This window comes from Homo sapiens, chromosome 17, assembly GCF_000001405.40.
Source record: "Homo sapiens chromosome 17, GRCh38.p14 Primary Assembly".
Classification (NCBI taxonomy): Eukaryota; Metazoa; Chordata; class Mammalia; order Primates; family Hominidae; genus Homo; species Homo sapiens.
The window spans coordinates 8,708,211-8,729,934 of NC_000017.11; the positions used below are offsets into that span (position 1 = coordinate 8,708,211).

The following is a 21,724-nucleotide window of genomic DNA, read 5'->3' on the forward strand; positions in this document are numbered from 1 at the left end:
CAGCTCTTAGAAAATGAGGGTGAAATATTTTCTGCTTGGAGAGAACATTATTTACAAGAACAGAGCAGGAACAGGGTCCTGCCCGGGTAGACTGGTGGGCTCTGGCTTATGTTTCGTGGCTGTGACAGCTCATACCAATCTGTGTTTCTAAGACAACCAGCGAACCAAATAGGAACAACATTAATGGTGATAAGAGGTGGCTGTTGCAGGCTGGGCCAACCCAGACAAGTTGAGCTCAAAGATCAGAAGTTTTGAGGCCAATTCTAAATTTAGAGTCCAATTTTTGAGGAAGCCAAAATGAGCTCTCCTTGCATGAAGTGTGTCAGAAGAATAGAAGACACCATCCCCAAAGAGCAGCTAGTAGAGGGGGCTGGGGTCCTCCTTCCAGCTAGAGATGCTAATAATGAGATCGAACAGCTCCTTCTTCTTCTTTAAAAAATTCTTAGGGCCAGGCACGGTGGCTCATGCCTGTAATCCCAGCACTTTGGGAGGCTGAGGCGGGCGGATCACGAGGTCAGGAGATGGAGACCATCCTGGCTAACATGGTGAAACCCCATCTCTACTAAAAATACAAAAAATTAGCCAGGCGTGGTGGCGGGCGCCTGTAGTCCCAGCTACTCGGGAGGCTGAGGCAAGAGAATGGCGTGAACCTGGGAGGCGGAGCTTGCAGTGAGCCGAGATCGCGCCACTGCACTCCAGCCTGGGGGACACAGTGAGACTCTGTCTCAAAAAACAAAACAAAAAAACTTAAGTCTTTTCAAACTAAAAGCTTTGAAAGAACTGAATATCACATCTCTTCTCTCTTCCCTGCTGCCTTTAAAATGTGTTCTTATTTAGAAAGAACCCCAAAGCAACTCAGGGTGTATGTGGAAGGAGCAAAATTTAAACCCCTAGCTTCCCCTCCACACCCAGCCTCAATCTAACCCTGCATGGACTAGGCCTCACTCCCTTCTAAGTGGGCACTTCAGAGCAGGAAGGCTGCAGGTTATCTACCAGAGCAGACACTTCCTGTTAGCTCAAGCCAAATACTCTCCTCCTTGGCCAACTCGTGGGATTGGCAGCAACACTATGCTGATGCCAGTGTGCCCCAGAGATTAGCCACTTTTGTCCCCAAGTTTTATGGTACTCTACTATGAACACTCTCATTGTGCTTGAATGGACTAGGGGCTCAAAGGCTCTATTCCCATGTGGGCTCTAGCCTCCACTTATTTTTACCAACTGAGCTCTTACCATCTGCCTTTGCCATTTGCTCTAAGAGGTCTTGGAAGGTAAACCTCTCAGAGTAACAATTTCTTCATCTATAAAATACCATGTGTGGGCCGGGCACGATGGCTCACACCTGTAATCCCAGCACTTTGAGAGGCTAAGGTGGGCGGATCATGAGGTCAGGAGATCAAGACCATCCTGGCTAACACGGTGAAACCCCATCTCTGCTAAAAATACAAAAAAAAAAAAAAAAAAAAAAAAAAAATCAGCTGGGCGTGGTGGCGGGCGCCTGTAGTCCCAGCTACTTGGGAGGCTGAGGCAGGAGAATGGTGTGAACACGGGAGGCGGAGCTTGCAGTGAGTAGAGATCGTGCCACTGTACTCCAGGCTGGGTGATAGAGCTAGGCTCTGTCTCAAAACAAACAAAAAAAAACCACGTGTGTCAAATTCACCCATGTGATGTTTCCCGCATTTATATCCAGCCCCTATTTCCACAAATGCTACCTAGGTCAGGTCTTCATTGTGCCTATGGAGGTCTCCTCATTTATTGGGCTGCCTCCATTCGTCCACAATACATAGGGCTAATCTTCCTAAAGCATGATTTTGATCAAGTCACTCTCCTGCTCGAAGCCTTTTCATAGCTTCCCATTGCCTGCAGAGCCAATTCCAAATCACTTAGCCTGGTTTCAAAGTCATCCACCATCTGGCCTCAGCCTATCCTTTTTGTTCATTCTTGTCCACCTACTTCTTCCAGCTGTTACATAAACTGTCGCCTAAAGCTGCCTTCTTACATATTTTAAGTGCGGCCTAAAGGTTTCTCCATACATAGTGAATTGTAACCTAACTGGATGTGTAAATAAGTCTGTAATCTACTCTTCTACCAGTCACAGAATTCCAACCAATCACAGGCGGCCCACTGTTCAAGCCATAAAGATGGCAGACACTGAGCTGTAACCAACCCTGCTGTTTCTATACCTCACTTTCCTTTTCTGTTTGTCACTTTCCTTCTTCTGTCCATAAATGTTATCCAACCATATGGCAGTCTCGGGAATCGCTCTGAACCCATTCTGGTTCGGGGGCTGCCCAATTCTCAAACGTTTTTTCTTCAGTTAAACTCTGTTAAATTCAATTTGTCTAAAGTTTTTCTTCTCACACAGCAAACTGAACAATCACACTCCAGGTTTTCACGTCAATGGGCCCTCATTCACATGCATCCTTTAATCTGAAATGTCCTTCTCCACATTTCTGCACATCTAACTTTTACCCTACTGATCCCCATAGCCTAATTATTAGCTGTATGATCTTGAGCAAATTATTTAAACTCCATATCTGAAGAAGATCGTTTCCAAAGATTGCCACAGCAATCGTTTCCATCCTGTGTGCCCTTTGCAAGGTGAGTTTGCCACTTCTCCATGTCAGTTTCCTTTCCGTTTGAATCTTTGCTGGCTCTGTGACATTCATGAACCCATCAAATGTGGTGGACATGATGCTATGTCATTTGCAGCTTCTGTTTTTGTACTCTGGGAAGCTGGCCACCATATACAGAAGTTCTAGCTATCCTGCTAGAGAGAGAGGTCACAGAAAGGACAACTGACATGCCCCAGCTGACAGCTAGCCCCACAGCCCGAGTCAACTGAGTAAGGCCATTTTGATCCTCCAGCTCCAACCAGGGCTAACACCGCAGCGTAGAGATGAACTGTTTCCACTAAGCCCTTGCTTGAGTTTCTGAACCCCCAAATTGCGAACAAATAAAATTGCTGTTTTAAGCCACTCAGTTTTGGGGTAGATTGTTATGTAGCAATGGATAATTGAAACAGACTCCTCGCCTACAAAATGGGGATAATAATGGTCTCCAGCCTCACAGAAGGACTGCGAGGATTAAGTGAGTCAATCTATGAAAAGCTCTTAGAATAGTGTCTGCACATGGCAAGATCGCAATAAACACTAACTCCTCACGACCTCAAATTAACTTAATGTTTTCTTGTTTCTTGTTCATCCCTAAGTCCCTCTCGCAGCAGTGCCTGGCATACAATAGGTACTCGGCAAACACAATTGGATATCAAACGTCCCCTTCCTTAAGCCTTCTCTGATGACATTCCATCAGCTTGCCACCACCCCTCCCTCTCCTGATTCCCACTGCACTTTATCAACTCTTCCCACAATGTAGGCTACCTTCAGCCTGGAACCCTGGCTGGTATGTCTCCTTGGTAGATGGTGAGCTTCTTGAAGACAATGACATTATTCATAATATATAAACAATAATGAATGAATTAATTAAAAATGGGAACAAGGCCAGGCACGGTGGCTTATGCCTGTAATCCCAGCACTTTGGAAGGCCGAGCTCAGCGGATCATGAGGTCAAGAGATCGAGACCATCCTGGCCAACATGGTGAAACTCTGTCTTTACTAAAAATATAAAAATTAGCCAGGCATGGTGGCGCACACCTGTAATCCCAGCTACTCGGGAGGCTGAGGCAGGAGAATCTCTTGAACCTGGGAGGCGGAGGTTGCAGTGAGCTGAGATCGTGTCACTGCACTCTAGCCTGGAGACAGAGCCAGACTCCGTCAAAAAACAAAAAACAATGTCACCTCCCATACCAGCATAACCAGGTTGGTTGTTTGTTTTTTGAGACGGAGTCTGGCTCTGTCACCCAGGTGATCTTGGCTCACTACAACCTCTGCCTCCTGGGTTCAAGTGATTCTCCTGCCTCAGCCTCCTGAGTAGCTGGGATCACAGGTGTGCGCCACCATGCCTGGCTAATTTTTGTATTTTTAGTAGAGACGGGGTTTCACTATGTTGACCAGGCTGGTCTCGAACTCTTGACTTCAGGTGATCCGCCTGCCTTGGCCTCCCAAAGTACTGGGATTACAGGTGTGTGCCACTGTGCGCGACCGCAGGTTTGTAATTCAAAAGAGGTGATGAATGACTCAGGCGCTCCGACATGCCTTCCAGAGCATATCTAATTTTAGATGGTGGCTTCTCTGTCTTCCTGGTCCCATCTGTGTGACTTTTATACTTTAAGGCAGGAGAGAATCCAAACAGGACTCCTGCAGAAAGTCTATTTACTGTCCTAAGAGTTGGTTGACCTTGAACTCTGGAAGTACAGGGTGTCACAAACCTAGGAAGGAACTAATGACTCCCAAGTCTGTTCCTATGGCTGACAAATGTCTGAAGTTCCTCCAGTAGATGAAAAACAGCTCATTCCTAAGCCATGATTTCTTCAGAAATCATTTTATTATCTCTAAGACTTGTGAAGTCTAAAGAGAGTAGAATTTGAAAGAATGTTGAATTCCATCTGGTTCAAAGAGCTTTAGTGTTAGACATAAACAACTTTACCAGTTTGAAAAACCAAAGATGAGCAAAATCAAATCAGGTGGTAGAGCTTCCTGGGTAGGGGTGTAACATACAACTTAAATCTAGGTGTCCTGGTCTATGTGGCACTTTGTTTGAATTATGGGGTCATTGACACAGCAAGATAGATAAGGCAGAGTAGTTGTTATGTAATCTCAGGAGAGTGGAGAAGGCACTCCCAAAACTGGAAATGATGTTACATTTTCCTTGGTGAGAATCTTTTAACCCCAGGAGGGTTTAAAATTAAGTATAGAAAGTTTAAGGGAATCATGATATTAATGTTTTCATGTAAAAGAATCTAGGCATGTTTATGTATATATAATGCTTACTAGAATTTAGCCTATTTACAGAAAAAAATGTCAAAATTCCAGTTGAAAATTAGTAAGTATTTAATTGATTCAGACTTATGACTTTAAACTGAAAACTTCCTAAGCGTATATATAGTATTGGAACATTTAAGAGAACCCTAAGGTTGTCATATTTGCAAGTTTAATTTATCGCATGAATAATCTAAACTTAAACACTTGAAAAGGTTTTGTTGTTAAGTCAGGCCATTAAAGTACATAAAAGGAAACAGAACACAGTAAGTGTCTCAATGCAATTTTAAATCTTTAAAAGGAATTTAACCTTATAATTGGAACCACACATCCAAAATCCTTTTAAAAGTGATAGGTAAAATATGTTGGACATCAACGGGATAAGATTAGAAAGCTGAAGCTTAAAGAGCTATGATTTTGAATTGTAATTTCAATAAATATTAATTTTAAAAGTCAGCTAAACTTCTGTATCATCTATGAAATGAGATTTATGGTAATAATTGCCGTGTAAGATCATTAAGAAGATTAAATGAGACATTAGTTTAAAAGCGTCTGGCACTGTGCCTGTCACATGGTAAGCATGATATATGATGGCATTTATTAATATTATTAAGTCTTCCTTAAGGGAGAGCATAAAGCCAGGCATGGGGATGTACACCTGTACTCCCAGCTACTAGGAAGCCTGAGGCAGGAGGATGACTTGAGCCCAGGAGTTCGAGTCCAGGCTAGGCAACATAGTGAGACTCTGTCTCAATTGAAATCAATCAATCAATAATAATAAAAGAGTACAAAGATGTTTAGAAATGAGAGGAAATATGGGATAAGATGTGACCCATAGCACAAGTAATCCTGGTGGCAGGGGTGAGATATCCACCACACCCCTTTGCCCCTTAGCCCCTGTCTGGCTAACAAGGCTCGCCTTATCTTGTCTGGGTCTCCCCAAGAAGTGTTCAGCTTCTCCAGCAGGGGTAGTGTGCAATTCATTACCATTGCGTCACCCAGTAGCCCTTTGCTAAGATCCATAGGAGGCGTTTTTCCTAAATCCCTCATTCTCTCACTCCATCTATCCTACGAACAATTGATGTTTGTACCAAGCACCATTCTAGGCAGTGGGGATAGTGCAGCCAGCAACAGCAGCAACAACAAAAAAACCCTGCTCTCATGGAGCTTACGGTGTGTGTGTGTGTGTGTGTGTGTGTGTGTGTGTGTGTGTGTGTGGTTTTTGAGACGGAGTCTCACTCTCACCCAGGCTGGAATGCAGTGGCCTGATCTTGGCTCACTGCAAGCTCCGCCTCCCAGGTTCACGCCATTCTCCTGCCTCAGCCTCCAGAGTAGCTGGGACTACAGGCACCCGCAACCACGCCCGGCTACTTTTTTGTGTTTTTAGTAGAGACGCGGTTTCACCGTTAGCCAAGATGGTCTCCATCTCCTGACCTCGTGATCCATCTGCCTCGGCCTCCCAAAGTGCTGAGATTACAGGCATGAGCCACCGCGCCCAGCCATGGAGCTTACATTCTAACAATGGAGACAGATATTAAACAAAATCGACAAGTAAGTTATGCAGTATGTTAGAAGAGGATATGTTGATAGAGAAAATGCACAGGGCAAAAAGATGGGTGTGGTGGGGTAAGGATTGGAATTTTAGAAAGGGTAGCCACTCCACGGAGAAGCTGACATCTCAGCCATTTGAGCCAAGACTTTAAAGAGGTGAGAGAGCCTTCTGTGCACAGGGAACAGAAAGTGCAAGGACTGTGAGCTGGGAGTGTTCCTCACACATCGGAGGAATGTGGAGGACGCCCATGAGGCTGGAGAGAACAAGCGGGAGGGTAGGAGATGCGATCAGACAAGCCATCGTGGAAGGTCTTGTGGCCTTTGTTAGGACTTTGGCTCTTACTCTGAATGAAGTGGGGAGCCATTAGGGCACTTTTGGGACAATTGGGGAAATTCCAACAGGAACCGTATATTAAATATTATTTAATCAGTATCGAAGTTTGTGGATGTTGTAATTCTCAATAAGTTGAAATAATTTTCCTGGGTGTTGGTGTGAACTGAAAGTTTGTGTCTTCCCACCTCCCAAATTTATGTGTTGAAGGCCTAACCCTCCAATATGATGGTATTTGGAGGTGGGCCCCTTGGGAAGTAATTTGGGTTAGATTAGGTCATGACAGTGGGGCCCTCAGGACAGGATTAGTGCCCTTAGGAAAAAGTGAAGAGACATTAAATCTTCCTCTCCCCAAGCATACTACAAGATGACAGCCACCTACAAGCCAGGAAGAGGCCTCAGAATTAAACCCACTTTACCAGCACCTTAATCTTGGACATCCCAACCTCCCAGCTGACTATGACAGGTGTCACTGTTAAAAGAAACATGCTGACGTACTTAGAGGTGAAGGATCATGATATCTAGAACTTATTTTCAAGTGACTGGGAAAAAAATAAAGGAAAAAAATTTAACCATTTGTCATTGTTACAGGTAAGACTGTGTGCTCCCCAAAACTTGTATGTTGAAGCCCTAACTTCATGTGACTGTATTTGGAGACAGAACCTTTAAGGAGGTTGGGGTTAACTGAGGTCATAAAGATGGGGCCCTAATCCAGTGACTGGTGCCCTTATAAGAAGAGGGAGAGACACCAGGTGTGTGTGCAGAGAAAGGGCCATGTGAGGATACAGTGAGAAGGCAGCCATCTGCAAAGCCAAGGAGACAGGCTTCAGGAGAAACCAAACCTGCCCACACCTTGACTCTGGATTTCCAGCCTCCAGAACTGTCAGAAAATAAGCTTCTGGTTTTAAAGCCACCCAGTCTGTGTGCTATTTTGTAATGGCAGCCCTAGAAGACTAATCTACTGCATAACAAGTTACCTCAAATGTAGGAGCTTAAAATAAGATTATCTCACATGATTTCTTTTTCTTTTTTGAGATGCAGTCTCCCTCTGTTGCCTAGGCTGGAGTGCAGCGGCATGGTCTTAGTTCACTGCAACCTCCGCCTCCCAGGTTCAAGCGATTCTCCTGCCTCAGCCTCCTGGGTAGCTGGGATTACAGGCGTGTGCCACCACACCTGGCTAATTTTTGTATTTTTAGTAGAGATGGGGTTTCACCACGTTGGCCAGGCTGGTCTTTAACTCCTGACCTCAGGTGATCCGCCCACCTCGGCTCCCAGAGTGGTGGGATTATAGGTGTGAGCCACCACCTCCAGCCAATCTTACATGGTTTCTGAGGGTCAGAAATCTGGAAGACGCTCAGCTGCGTGGTTCTGGCTCCAGGTCCATCATAAAGTACAGTCAGTATGTTTTCCCCAGGGCTTCCATCATCTGATGGCTTATCTGAGGTAGAAGGCTGCATTTCCAACATCCACTCACGGCCGGGCACGGTGGCTCACGCCTGTAATCCCAGCACTTTGGGAAGCCGAAGCCAGCGGATCACCTGAGGTCAAGAGTTCAAGACCAGCCCGGCCCACATGGTTAAAACCCCATCTATACTAAACATACAAAATATTAGCCCGGCATGGTAGTGGGCACCTGTAGCCCCAACTAATCAGGAGGCTGAGGCAGGAGAATGGCATGAACCCAGGAAGTGGAGCTTGCAGTGAGCCAAGATTGCGCCACTGCACTCCAGCCTGGGCAACAGGGCCAAGACTCCGTCTCGTTAAAACAAAACAAAACAAAACAAAACAAAACAAAACAAAACAAAACAAAACAAAACAAAAAAAACCCACTCACCTGGCTGTTGACAAGACGTCTCAGTTCTTCACCATGTGGTCTTCTCCCCAAGGCCGCTTAAGTGCCCTTATATGAGGGCATGGCAGTTGGCTTTCCAGATTAAAAGAACCCAGGAACAGAGCAAGGAGGAAGACACAAGGCCTTTTACGACCTAGTCTTGGAAGTTGCACACCTTCGCTTCTGACACGTTCTAGTATCAGTGAATCACTAAGGCCACCCCACACTCAGGAGGAAGGGAGGTAAGCTGTGTCCCAAATTGGTGAGTTCTTGGTCTGACTTCAAGAATGAAGCCACAGACCCTCGGGGTGAGTGTTACACTTCTTAAAGGCAACGTATCCGGAGTTTGTTCCTTCTCATGTTCAGATGTGTTCAGAGTTTTTCCCTTCTGGTGGGTTCGTGGTCTCACTGGTTCAGGAGTGAGGCTGCACACCCTCGCGGTGTATTGCAGCTCTTAAGGAGGCGCGTCTGGAGTTGTTCATTGCTCCTGGTGAGTGAAGCTGCAGACCTTCACGTATTACAGCTCATTAAGACTGTGTAGACCCAAACAGCGAGCAGCTGCAAGACTTACCTGCAAACAGCAAAAAAAAAAAAAACAAAAAAACAAAAAAACAAAAAACGAGGCTACCACCACAGGCAAAAGGACCTCAGCGGTACTGCTGCAGCAAGTTCTGGCAGCCTGCTTTTATTCTCTTATCTGGCCCCACCCACATCCTGCTGATTGGTCCGTTTTACAGAGAGTTGATTGGTCTGTCTTACAGAGAGCTGATTGGTCCGTTTTGACAGGGTGCTGATTGGTCCGTTTCGACAGGGTGCTAATTGGTGTATTTACAATCCCTGAGCTAGACACAAAAGTTCTCCACGGCCCCACTAGATTAGCTAGATACAGACTGCTGATTGGTGTATTTACAAATCCTGAGCTAGACACAGAGTGCTGATCGGTGCATTTACAAACCTTGAGCTAGATACAGAGTGCCGATTGGTGTATTCACAATCCCTTAACTAGACATAAAGATTCTCCAAGTCCTCACCAGATGAGCTAGATACAGAGTGCCGATTGGTGCATCCACAAACCCTGAGCTAGACACAGGGTGCTGATTGGTGTGTTTACAAACCTTGAGCTAGATACGGAGTGCTGATTGGTGTATTTACAATCCCTTAGCTAGACATAAAGGTTCTCCAAGTCCCCCCTAGACTCAGGAGCCCAGCTGGCTTCACCCAGTGGATCCCGCACTGGGGCCACAGGTGGAGCTGCCTGCCAGTCTGGCGCTGTGTGCCCACACTCCTCAGTCCTTGGGCAGTGGATGGGACCGGGTGCCATGGAGCAGGGGGCGGCTCTTGTCGGGGAGGTTCAGGCCGCACAGGCGCCCACGGTGGCGGCGGGGAGGCTCAGGCATGGTGGGCTGCAGGTGCCGAGCCCTGCCCCGCTGGGAGGCAGCTAAGGCCCGTGAGAAATCGAGCACAGCGCGGTGGGCCGGCACTGCTGGGGGACCCGGCGCACCCTCCGCAGCTGCTTGCCCGGGTGCTAAGCTCCTCACTGCCCGGGCCCGGTGGGGCCGGCCGGCCCCTCGGGGTGCGGGGCCCGCCAAGCCCACGCCCACCCAGAACTCTAGTTGGCAGGTGCGCAGCCCCAGTTCCCGCCCACGCCTCTCCCTCCACACCTCCCCGCAAGCTGAGGGAGCCGTCTCCGGCCTTGGCCAGCCCAGAAAGGGGCTCCCACAGTGCAGCGGTGGGCTGAAGGGCTCCTCAAGCACGGCCACAGTGGGCTCCAAGGCCGAGGAGGCGCCCAGAGTGAGCCAGGGCTGCGAGGGCTGCCAGCATGCTGTCACCTCTCAGCTGCATCTCTTGAAGAGCAAAAAAACTCTTGGTACGTGCTATACAGGATTTGTTATTGTAATTATTATTATTATCAATGTATTTAAATCCACAGATACCTCCCCTGGAGGATCTTCTTCTAACCCGCCTACAACCCTCTCTCTGATTAGGGGCCTGAGCAAAGCCTGAGAAGGGACGCGCAGGACAAATTTGCGGGGAAAGAGAGAAGATTGGGCAAAAATTTGGCATGAGAACAGCCTTTAACCTGTCCCTTCAATACATTTGCTGCCTCAGAAAGGAAGAGGCCACAAGGAGCTCCTGGTTTCTACTACAGCCTCCAGAGTCTCTAATTCCGTCCCCAAGGATGGTGTGGGCAGCATGGTTGGGGGGCATCCACGGTCTTCAGCGGTCCCACTCTGGAGCCTCCCACACCACACTGTGGGCACTGTGGACATTCAGTAAGTATGTGATGCTGATGATCTTGAAGGTTCTCAGAGGCTGGCTGATTCTTCCTGTCTGTGTATTCACACTTGGTACTTGTTGATTAGTTAAGGATCAAGGATCCCAATTTTTTTTTTTTTTTTTTGGAGATAGGGTCTCACTCTGTTGCCCAGGCTGGAGTGCAGTGACGTGATCTTGGCTCACTGTAACCTCCGCTTCCTGGGTTCCAGTGATTCTCCTGCCTCAGCCTCCCTAATAGCTGAGATTACAGGCGTGAGGCACCACATCTGGCTAATTTTTGTGTTTTTAGTAGAGATGGGGTTTCACCATTTTGGCCAGGCTGGTCTTGAACTCCTGACCTCAGGTGATCCACCTACCTCGGCCTCCCAAAATGCTGGGATTACAGCTGTGAGCCACTGTGTCCGGCCAAGGATCCCAATTTTGAGGAGAGACTGGTATCATGAGTTCAACCAACCAGCAGGCTTCCGGTGAGCACAGTGAGCCAGAATGATGGCTTGTGGCTTCATTCAACCAGTAGAATCACAGCAATAAAAATACCTAATACATCTCCTATTCCAGGTTCTGTTCTAAATGATATACACACATATTAATTGAGTTAGTTCTCAAAGCAACCCTATGAACTATGAATCTGTCCATTTTACAGATGAGGAAATAGAGGCACAGAGAGATTAAGAGACTCGCCCAAGGTCAGAGTTCAGAGTTTGATTCCAAGAGTATGTGTTTAAAACTGCTATGCTAGATTGCCTCTTAAAAATTGTGCAATTCATCCTTAACATTTAAAGGTATCTAAATATGAGCAGGAGGTGGTACTTAAACAATAGAAATAATTGAGAGTAAGATTTAGGGACTAGAAAGTTCAGGTAACATAGAATGCTAAGCAGGAAGGAACCTGAGACATACCAGGGCCATAAATTTTCAAACTGGATTCTGAAGAGTCCTAGGATTCTTGTGGTATCTCTGGATCTGCTTGTCCAGGAGTGAGGGAAATCTTTGGACTCCACCACCCCAATTCAACCACAGCACCCACCAGGATCTGTTTCACAGGGTGTTCCTGTGCAGAAGTCACAAGCCCAAGTTTGGCTGGACCACAGCCTCAGATTGTCAGGGAAGTTTGCAAATGGCTTTGAAGTGGCTGAAAATATTACTGGGTTTCCTTTCCATGATATTGTCTCTAGAAAACCTTTCCGGGGTTGATTCTATAGGGATTTGTGTCTTTCTTTTTGTTTTTCTTTTTACCATTTTGCAACTCTGAACTCTGTTGACACAAGAGTTAACTTACGTAGCAAGTGATTTCTGCCCTGTAGAAGACAACATTTTTGTATCTATTAGCAAATTAGTTTCTACATTCCTGATTGTGCATATGTGTGTCTGTTCTGTGGATTCTTCTTTGAATGCAGTTTTATGTCATACTGGTTATCTCAACTGATGAGTTAGATAAAATCTTTTTTTTCCTTTTTTTTTTTCTTTTGAGACAGAGTCTTTCTTTGTCATCTAGGCTAGAGTGCAGTGGCGTGATCTCGGCTCACTGCAACCTCTGCCTCCTAGGTTCAAGCGATTCTCCTGCCTCAGCCTCCGCAGTAGCCGGGAATTACAGGCGTGTGTCCCCACGCCCAGCTAATTTTTTTATATTTTTAGTAGAGATGGGATTTCACCACATTGACCAGCCTGGTCTTGAACTCCTGACTTCAGGTGATTGGCCTGCCTTGGCCTCCCAAAATGTTGGGATTACAGGCATGAGCCACCACGCCCGGCGAGTTAGATAAAATCTTTGTGACATCTCCATTTATGTTTATATGTATATGGCAGTCATAACTTTAAGAAAATTATCCTTTAACAAGATGGTCTTCCTGCATTGATTCTGGCCTCCTCCTATTCTTGCCCCCTATCCAGTCCATTCTCCGTGAAGGAGCTAGAGCCATCTTTGCCAAGAGCAAACCTGATCATAATCCTCCCCGGCTTAAAACCGATATGCAGTATAGCCTGCTGATAGCAGTGCAGACCTCGCTTCTGCTAGGACAACTGGATGCCATCATCCTGAATCGGACACCTCACCTGACATCAAACAGCGGGACAGGGCCCAAGGCCCTTGGGTGCCCACAACACACTGATTGATCAGCCCAGATCTCACCACCATCGCTCACTTGCCTTTCTAATTTGGGACAGAGAAAGTTTGTGAGTTTTATTTTGTCTTTTTTTTTTCTCCAGATTTAAAGATCTATTCCCTTTCCTCTCCCCCAAACCTCATTCCCCAGAACCTAGATTCTGTGCCAAATTGGGTTTCCAAGCCTAGCAGTATAAAACAAAAAAACAAACAAACTCCTACCCAGAGCTCAATCTTTGGTCTCTTATTCTTTCTTTTTTTTTTTTCCTTTAGTAAAATCTCAGTGCTGCCAGGAGCAGTGGCTTCTGCCTATAATCCTAGCATTTTGGGAGGCTGAGGTGGGTCTTGGTGCAAGGTGAAATCACTTGAGGCCAGGAGTTCGAGATCACCCTGGCCAACGTGGTGAAACTGTCTGTACTTTAAAAATACAGAAAATTAGCTGGGTGTGGTGCATGTGCCTGTAATCTCAGCTAGTAAGGAGGCTGAGGTGGGAGGATCACCTGAGCTTGGGAAGTTGAGGCTGCACTGAGCTGTGATCCCGCCACTGCACTCCAGCCTGGGTGACAAGAGTGAGTGAGACTCTGTCAAAAAAAAAAAAAAAAAGAAAAGAAAAAAACCCTCAGTGCTCTCCAGTCCCCTTAGAATAAAAGCCAAAATCCTGGAAAAGGCCTCCCTGAAAGGTCTCACATGATCTAGCCCCTGCTTGCCTCTGTTCTCACCCTCGCCCTCTTCATTCCAGCTACCCTGACCTTTGGCCCACCCTTTCCAGACCCAGCCTCTTCCCATTTTGTGTTAGGACACTGTGACACCCTCTCTTTCTCCTCCTCCTTGCCATTGTCTGGCGGAAACAAAACAAAACAAAAATAACATGTATTCATTTTCAAGTCTCTTGCTAAACCTTACCTTGCTGCCTCAAAAAGACCTGGTTGGTTCCCCACCTCCTTCCCTCATAGGATCCCCTAGCACCAGAACTTCCTAACAGCCAGTGCAGTGATGATTATTTAATGATTTAGCTATTTATATATAGGGGTGGAATGTCTCTCTTTCCCAAGAGGCCAAAAGCTCCAAGAGGCAGGACTCAGATCAGTTGTTTACTACTTTGTCCCTTCTGCTTTGCTTGGTGCTTGCATATAGGAGGCACTCGATACAACCATTTTTTTTTTTTTTTTTTTGAGACAGAGTCTTGCTCTGTCACCCAGGCTGGAGTGCAATGGCAAAATTTCGGCTCACTGCAAGCTCCGCCTACCAGGTTCACGCCATTCTCCTGCCTCACCCTCCGGAGAAGCTGGGACTACAGGCGCCCGCCACCACGCCCGGCTAATTTTTTTTTTTTTTTGTATTTTTAGTAGAGACAGGGTTTCACCGTGTTAGCCAGGATGGTCTCGATCTCCTGACCTCGTGATCCACCCGCCTCGGCCTCCCAAAGTGCTGGGATTACAGGCGTGAAGCACCGTGCCCGGCTGCCAGGCTGATCTTCCTTTGTACTACTTTGCCATTAATCCCTGAAATAGAAATGATCCTGATGTATCTCAAAATCCAAACAGTCTGGCAGTTCCTCAAAAGGTTAAACATAGAATAACCATAGGACCAATCGATTCCACTCCTAGGTGTTTACACAAGAGAAATGAAAACCTATGTTCACACAAAAACTTGTATAAGAATGTTCGTAGCAGCTTTATTCACCAAAAGCAGAAAGCAGAAACTACACAAATGTCCATCCACTGATTATTGGATCAACAAAATATGCTACCATATATCCATACAATGGAATAGTATTCAGCCCTAAAAAGAAGTGATATACTGATACATGTTGTATCACGCATGAACCTCGAAAACATTATGCTAAGTGAAAACATGCTAAGCTAAACATAAAAGATCATAGATTGTATGACCCCGTTCATGTGAAATATCTAGAACAGGCAAAGGCATAGAAATAGAAGGTAGATGAATGGGGCTGGGGGGTTGGGAGGAAATGAGATTAACTATTGGGTCTACTAACGGAGCTTTTTAGGGGGTGAAGAAAATGTTCTAAAAATGTGTTGAGAGTTGAACAATTCTGTAAATATGCTAAAAACCGTGGACTGTACACTTTGAATGAATTATACAATATGCAAATTATATATCAATAAAGCTGTTAATTATTATTGTTATTGTTTTTTTGAGACAGAGTTTCGCACTGTTGCCCAGGCTGGAGTGCAGTGACATGATCTCGGCTCACTGCAACCTCCACCTCCCAGGTTCAAGCGATTCTCCTGCCTCAGCCTCCCGAGTAGCTGGGGCTACAGGCACCCGCCACCACACCCGGCTAATTTTTTGTATTTTTAGTAGAGACAGGGTTTCACCGTGTTAGCCAGGATGGTCTCTATCTCCTGACCTCGTGATCCGCCCGCCTCGGCCTCCCAAAGTGCTGGGATTACAGGCATGAGCCACCGCGCCCGGCCTGTTAATTATTTTAAAAAGCAGTAATTTCTAACCTTATTGGGTTAAGATTTCTGGGAGAATTGGAAAGCTGTAGAGTTTCTCTTGATCCACCTCCATCCTCACCCGCCTCAGCCATGAAAAATCACATATGCTTATATATAAAAGTTTCATAAAAAATTAGGTGATTCCCAGTCTGAAGCCCATTTATTGACTCCCTAGACATCTATAATCCCCATAGAAACCTGTGTTGATAAAAACTATCACTAGTAACTGTTAGCTCAGGTGCACATCTGAAAGAATTTTTTTTTTTTTTTTGAGACAGGGTCTTGCCCTGTTACCCAGGTTGGAGTGCAGTGGCGTGATCACAGCTCACTACAGCCTCAACCTCCCAGGATCAAGCGATCCTTTTGAGTGGGTGGGACTACAGGCAAGAGCCACAGTGCCCTGCTAATTTTTAAATAGTTTTTGTAAAGACAGGGTCTTGCTATGTTGCCCAGGCTAGTCTTGAACTCCTGGGTTCAAGCCATCCACCCACCTTGGCCTCTAGAACTGCTGGGATTACCGGCAGGAGCCACCATGCCCAGCCTAAAATATTTTTTTTTCCCATCCTTGTCATAGTCACTCTTCGCCCCCTCCTCTTCTTTCTTCAGAAGCTGTTTTGACATCCTTTCTCCATCAGTGTGGTAGGAAGAGTTTTAAGACAGTTCCCATGACCTTCGCCTTCCGGTATTGGGGCAAAAGGAGGAGATTATCTGGGTGAGTCTAATTTAATTGCAGGAGCCCTCTGAAAGCAGATAATTTCTCTAGCTGGTATTGGAAGAGAGTCAGATTCAAAGCCTGACAGGGACTCCACATGCTGTTGCTGGCTTTGAAGATGGAAGAGGCTGTGCAATGAGGAATGCAGTTGGCCTCTAAGAGCAGAGGGGCCCCTAGCTGACAGCCAACAAGGAAATGAGGACCTTAGCCCTAGAGCTTCAGGAATTGGATTATGTCAGCAACCTGAAGGAGCTTGGAAGTGGATTCCTCCCCTGAGCCTCCAGGTGACGGCCCAGCCATTGCACAACATGGTTGCAGCCTCATGACACGCTGAGCAGAGCCAAGCCAGCCCATGCGGACTCTGAGCTGCTACCGTGAGGTAACATGTGAGTGTTGGTTCAGGACCCCCAGTTTGCAGTAATTTGTTATGCAGACTAGAAAACTAACACAATCAGCCTCGCGTCGCTGTGCAGCTGGCTGTCTTTCTGTTGGATGTTTCTAGAGCCACCTCTTTTCCTCATAAGATTCCTAAAATGGTTATTTGTCCCCCCCTCTACCCCGAGGGTGACATCATACTCCGGTTGCCTCCGAGCCTGGCTCATCATTCCGCACTCCATGGCCTACACTGGGAGCCTCTTCCTGGTGTTTCAAAGGTGAAAGCTAAGGGGAACCTCAGGCCATTGCAGGTGAGGAAGCTGCACTGGGCTGGTGTCACAGCTCTCAGCAGCTCTGATCTCCCAAGAGAAGAAGTTTGGCCTGAGACAGGGGTCTCGTGGGACTCCGCTTGGCCTCAGCACCCTGCTATGCACATGGAAGGCTTCCAGTAAACATTGCTGGGACCGAAAGTCCAGGAGCATAGGAGCTCACTCAGATGCCCAAGTGATCAACCCTAAGATGGCTTGAAAGGAGAAGCACAAGGTTCTAGAGCCCTTCCAGCTGACCGAAAGCCTTGTCCGTAATATGTGGGACCCTGGTCTGGAAGCTAGGGAAAGGGCTTTGAGGGTAAAACCTTGCGAGGAGGGGGGCTGATCCCAAGGGCTAGTAGCTGATCTCACAGAAGCAGAGGCTCTTCAGCTACTCCAGGGAGACCGAGATCACCTGGAAGGGTGCTCAAAGCTTGGTTTTAATCCCATCTTTAGCAGCAGTTTGGAGGTTGTGTATATGGCAAGGCGTTGTGACAGACATGCAGCTGTCTGCCCACCTGCCTGCTTGCAGGCTCAGCTCTTAGTCCCCCAAACCCCTCCAACCCCCTCTTCTGTCCTTCCCCTACTCATCATTCCGCACTCCATGGCCTACACTGGGAGCCTCTTCCTGGTGTTTCAAAGGTGAAAGCTAAGGGGAACCTCAGGCCATTGCTCACGGGTTTGGAGGGGAACCGAGTGCTCTACACTGAGAGTGAGCTCCTGAAGGGCTTCCTTCCTCTTCCCTCCCTTTATCCATAAAACACCCAGAGCCCTACTTCCTGCCTTTGCTGATGAGAACCATTCATTTCTGGAACAAATCAGTTATTTCTGCTCTCGTGAGTTAGTGTCTTTTCTTGCTGGGAAAAACTCCAGTTAGGCCCTTACCTTCATCTTCTTGTTCTTGGAGCGTGATCTCATGCATCTGAGAGTTGGAATCCCTCTTGACCGGGTTGTCTTGGCTTCTTTATGTGGCTATAGGGCCCCGGGTAGCCATGCAGAAGGCCTGAGATGGGGCTGGGGTGGGGTAGGGAAGGAGCGAGGGCCTGTCTGTGACTGCCATTACCCTCCCGATGGGGAGACCCCGTCACTCCGGCGCCTGGGAATCCCTGCACCATTTGGATTTGTTCTCCCTGTGTCTGTGGGCTTGAGTAGGTTTGCGGATTTGTGGCTTCTCTTGTACTCAAGAAATCTGCCTAGACCCACAGAATTTCTTCTGCCCCAGGGCTGGACCACCCTTTTTAAGCATGAAATATGCAACAATATCAGAGTGAGTTATACACATACATAATATGCACATACTAGTTATACATCTGCAGTATCGGGGTGAGTGTATGCACACTTAACAGCATGCACATGCAGAGTTACACACAGGCAATATCAGCGTAAGTTATACACACGTGTAAACACGTGTGTCTCAGGATAAGCTTATGTGTGATCACAGGAGTTCTGAGTGTGACCCTGAGGAGTCCCTGTTTCAGTCAAGCCCTGGAAACTTGGTGGCGCAGGGTGGTGAAGCCGAGGAGGGAGTGCAGAGGAAGGAGGCAGAGGGAGTGCCTTCAGCTTCTCGCACAGGGCCTTGGGTGGTGCTGTAGGGGTGGTGCTGAGGGGGCCTTGCACACTCCAAGAGGAAGTGTGTTCAGGCCGAACAGCCTGGGCTTCTCAAACACCACCTTACAGCGACAGCAGAAGACGGGGCTGTGGGGGGAAGTGTGTATATTGGGGAGTTGGGGGAACTGCCTGTTCTGCGCCTTCTCCCACCTCCCAGGACCCAGACCAGGAGGCTGAACGTGGAGAAGTTATTTCAGCAGCATATCCTTCACCCACGGCCGTTTCTGGAGATCCCCAACCCCTCCATGCCCCTCTGAGCACCCCCTTAGCACTCGCTGTCCTGGGTGTGTGAGGTGACCTCTGCCCTCCATCCACTAGAGACGCCTGTTTGGCCAGGGCCAGCCGGCAGGACTGCAGCCTCCAGCATCCGTTCCTCGCTTCTGAAGGCAGATTTGCCTTGGTTTCGTCACCTGTGAAATGGAGATGATGATAGCGTGGAGGCTTCGGGATAAGTCAGCATGCCTAGGCAGAATTGTATTCTCAGAATTCCTTTTCTTGGGTGTGTCCTGTTAGTGTGGGTCACAGAAAGCTTCCCGTAGGGGATTTGGGGGCGGACTCACTCTGATATTGTTGCATTTTTCAGGCTTAAAGAGGGGCCCAGCCCTGGGGCAGAAGAAATTCTGTGGGTCTAGGCAGATTTCTTGAGTACAAGAGAAGCCACAAATCCACAAACTTACTCAATGCCTGCTGACTGGCGGCATTGGTGTGAGGCGGTGGCCAGGCCTGCATCTGCCCGCCCTCCCCTGGAACCTCCTTCAGTCTCCTGCCCCTGGGCCAGGCGTATGTGTTCATTTCCAGGACGAAGGATCCTGGCTTTGGCAGGACGCCCACACCACCAATTTCAGAAGCAACAAGAACTGACGTGGGTTTCTGTCTGCCTGTCTGTCCTCGGGTCTCCAGCCTGTGCTATGGATTCTGACTTGTCCTTGATCTGCCCCACTTTACCTCCATGCTTCCTTCCCAACCATCTCCCCTGCGAACTTCAAGCCTCAGCATCAGATGGGAAGACAGCTGCTTTATAGACACTGCTTACCCAGTGCCCACAACTGCCTACAGTCAAATCCCTGAAACAAAGCCCTTCACATATACCAGAAGAATCTCTCTCTACCATCTATCTATCTATCTATGTATTTATCTACCTGTGTATCTATCTATGTATCTATGTATCTATTATCTATCTATCTATCTCTACTATCTATTGTCTATCTCCTATCTATCTACCATGTATCTTCTATTTACTATTTATCATCTATCTGTTGATCTATTGATCTGTATCTATCATCTATCTACTATGTATTGTCTATCTCCGATCTATCTACATATTATCTATCTTCTATTTGCTATTTATCTATCATCTAATTTATCATCTATCTTCTATATCTATGTATCTATCATCTATCTGCTATTATCTCCTATCTTATCTACCTACCATCTATCTTCTATTTACTATTTATCTATCCCATCCATCCATCTATCCACCCATCCACCCATCCACCCATCCACCCACCCACCCATCCATCCATCCATCTCTATCTATCTATCTATCTATCTATCAATCTACTTACTTCTCTTGCTAAACGCTGACCCAGGTAGACACGTATTGCTTCTTGAGGTAGGAAATGAGTGGAGCCCAGGTGCTTGAAAGTGTTTGGTCACTGCAGGGCAGTGGTTCTTCAACTTGAGCACGCATCAGAATCATGTGGAGGGCTTCTTAAAACCCAGAGTGCTGGGTCCCACCCCTGGAGTTTCTGATTCTCAGGTCTGGAGTGGGGCCTGAGAATTTAACTGGTAAAGTTGCCAGGTGATGCTGACGCTGCTGGTCCGGGGACCACGCCTGAGAATGACTGCTGTAAGGTGTTGTATGTGAAGGTGAGGGGTTACTGCGGCCACGCAGCGATCCTGGCAGGGCAGCTGCAGCAGTGCCTTCCCTGAGACAACAGGAATCCGGGCAGTCTGAGGGCCCTCTAGGATCACAGGGCCAGGGAGGAGACACGGAGCCTTGTTAAGTCTGCTCCTCAGCCTGCTTTGGGGACAAAAGCACAGGGCCTCTGCTTTCTGGGAGGCAGACTGACGAGGGGGAGAGACCAGGCTCAGGAAGAGCAGACCCAGGGGTGAATCCTGACCCTGTCGTCCTGTAGCCAGGGTTCCCAGGCAAGCATCCTGCTCTGTGAGTCAGGATAATGATGCCTCACTGGGTTTTCAAAAGGCGGATACAAATGAAGTCCCTGTTGAATACATGTTACTTCCCCACGGCTCTCTGACTTGGCTTTTGCTATTGATTTAAAAATGTGCAATTGAGTTTTTGAACCTAAGTTTGAGATTTTACATTGACCTCAATTGAGTTGAGTTTGGCTGGTTTTAATCCATCATCCCAGCCTGCTGAGGTGCTCCTGAGCCTTGAGCTTGTCATTTGGCACATTAGTGATCCCTCCCTAGTTACTGGTGGCCTGCCCAGTAACTAGGGCAGTAACTAGGGCTGTTCCTTCCTTAGCGTTGCTGACACTGGCTTGCATGTTTTAGCGCACACAGTGGGGCAGGGGAGCAGAGCTTGCTCCTGAAGTCAGGGAAGAGTGCTCGACTCAGCACTTTTGCAGCTCTGACCTGGGAAGCTGCCTTCGTAGTTTTAAGTGGGTCTTTGCACCCAAATTAGAAACACCTCATGCTTCTAATCCAAGCACTTTGGGAGGCCAAGGTGGGTGGATCACCTGAGGTTAGGAGTTCGAGACCAGGCTGACCAACATGGTGAAACCTTGTCTCTACTAAAAATACAAAATTAGCCCGGCATGGTGGCGGGCGCCTGTAATCCCAGTTACTCGGGAGGCTGAGGCAGGAGAATCGCTTAAACCCAGGAGGCAGGGGTTGCAGTGAGTCGAGATCGCGCCTTGCACTTCAGCCTGGGCAACTCCATCTCAAAAATAAAATAAAATAAAATAAATAAAAATAAAATAAAATAAAATATAAAATATAAAATTATAAAATATAAAATAAAATATAAAATATAAAATATAAAAAAATAAAATAAAATAAAATAATATAATATAAAATATAAAATAAAATATAAAAGTTTGAAGTGGTGGATGAGAGAAGAGTCCTCTGTACTGACCCTACTGGTTTGTTGCCCACCTGAACACTGACTGTGTGTGAGCCCAAAGGTGAGGGGACACCAGACCTAAGATGTGGTTTCTAGTTCCCAGGCAGCCTAGGTGACCAGCTTTGAGAGTGAGTGCTTGTTGGGGGGGTCCCCCGTCACTGCACTCTTCCCCATGAATAAACTACCAAAGGGCTAGAGAG

The 21,724-nt window shown here is 47.1% G+C and overlaps 2 long non-coding RNA genes across 3 annotated transcripts in view; both read left to right on the forward strand.

Annotated features, from left to right (window-relative positions):
* The window catches only part of LOC105371525 (uncharacterized), a 50,875-nt gene extending 37,629 nt beyond the window's left edge, over positions 1 to 13,246 (forward strand). For both annotated transcript variants that reach the window (XR_001752781.1, XR_001752784.1), the window contains exons 3-4: positions 10,573 to 10,860; positions 12,755 to 13,246. This is a non-coding gene — a long non-coding RNA (uncharacterized LOC105371525). The remainder of the gene's footprint in view (positions 1 to 10,572; positions 10,861 to 12,754) is intronic.
* LOC105371526 (uncharacterized) lies at positions 6,340 to 8,989 on the forward strand. Its single transcript, XR_934215.3, has 3 exons — positions 6,340 to 6,425; positions 7,113 to 7,260; positions 8,643 to 8,989. It is a non-coding gene; the product is annotated as an uncharacterized LOC105371526 (long non-coding RNA).
* Positions 13,247 to 21,724: the final 8,478 nt, after the last annotated feature.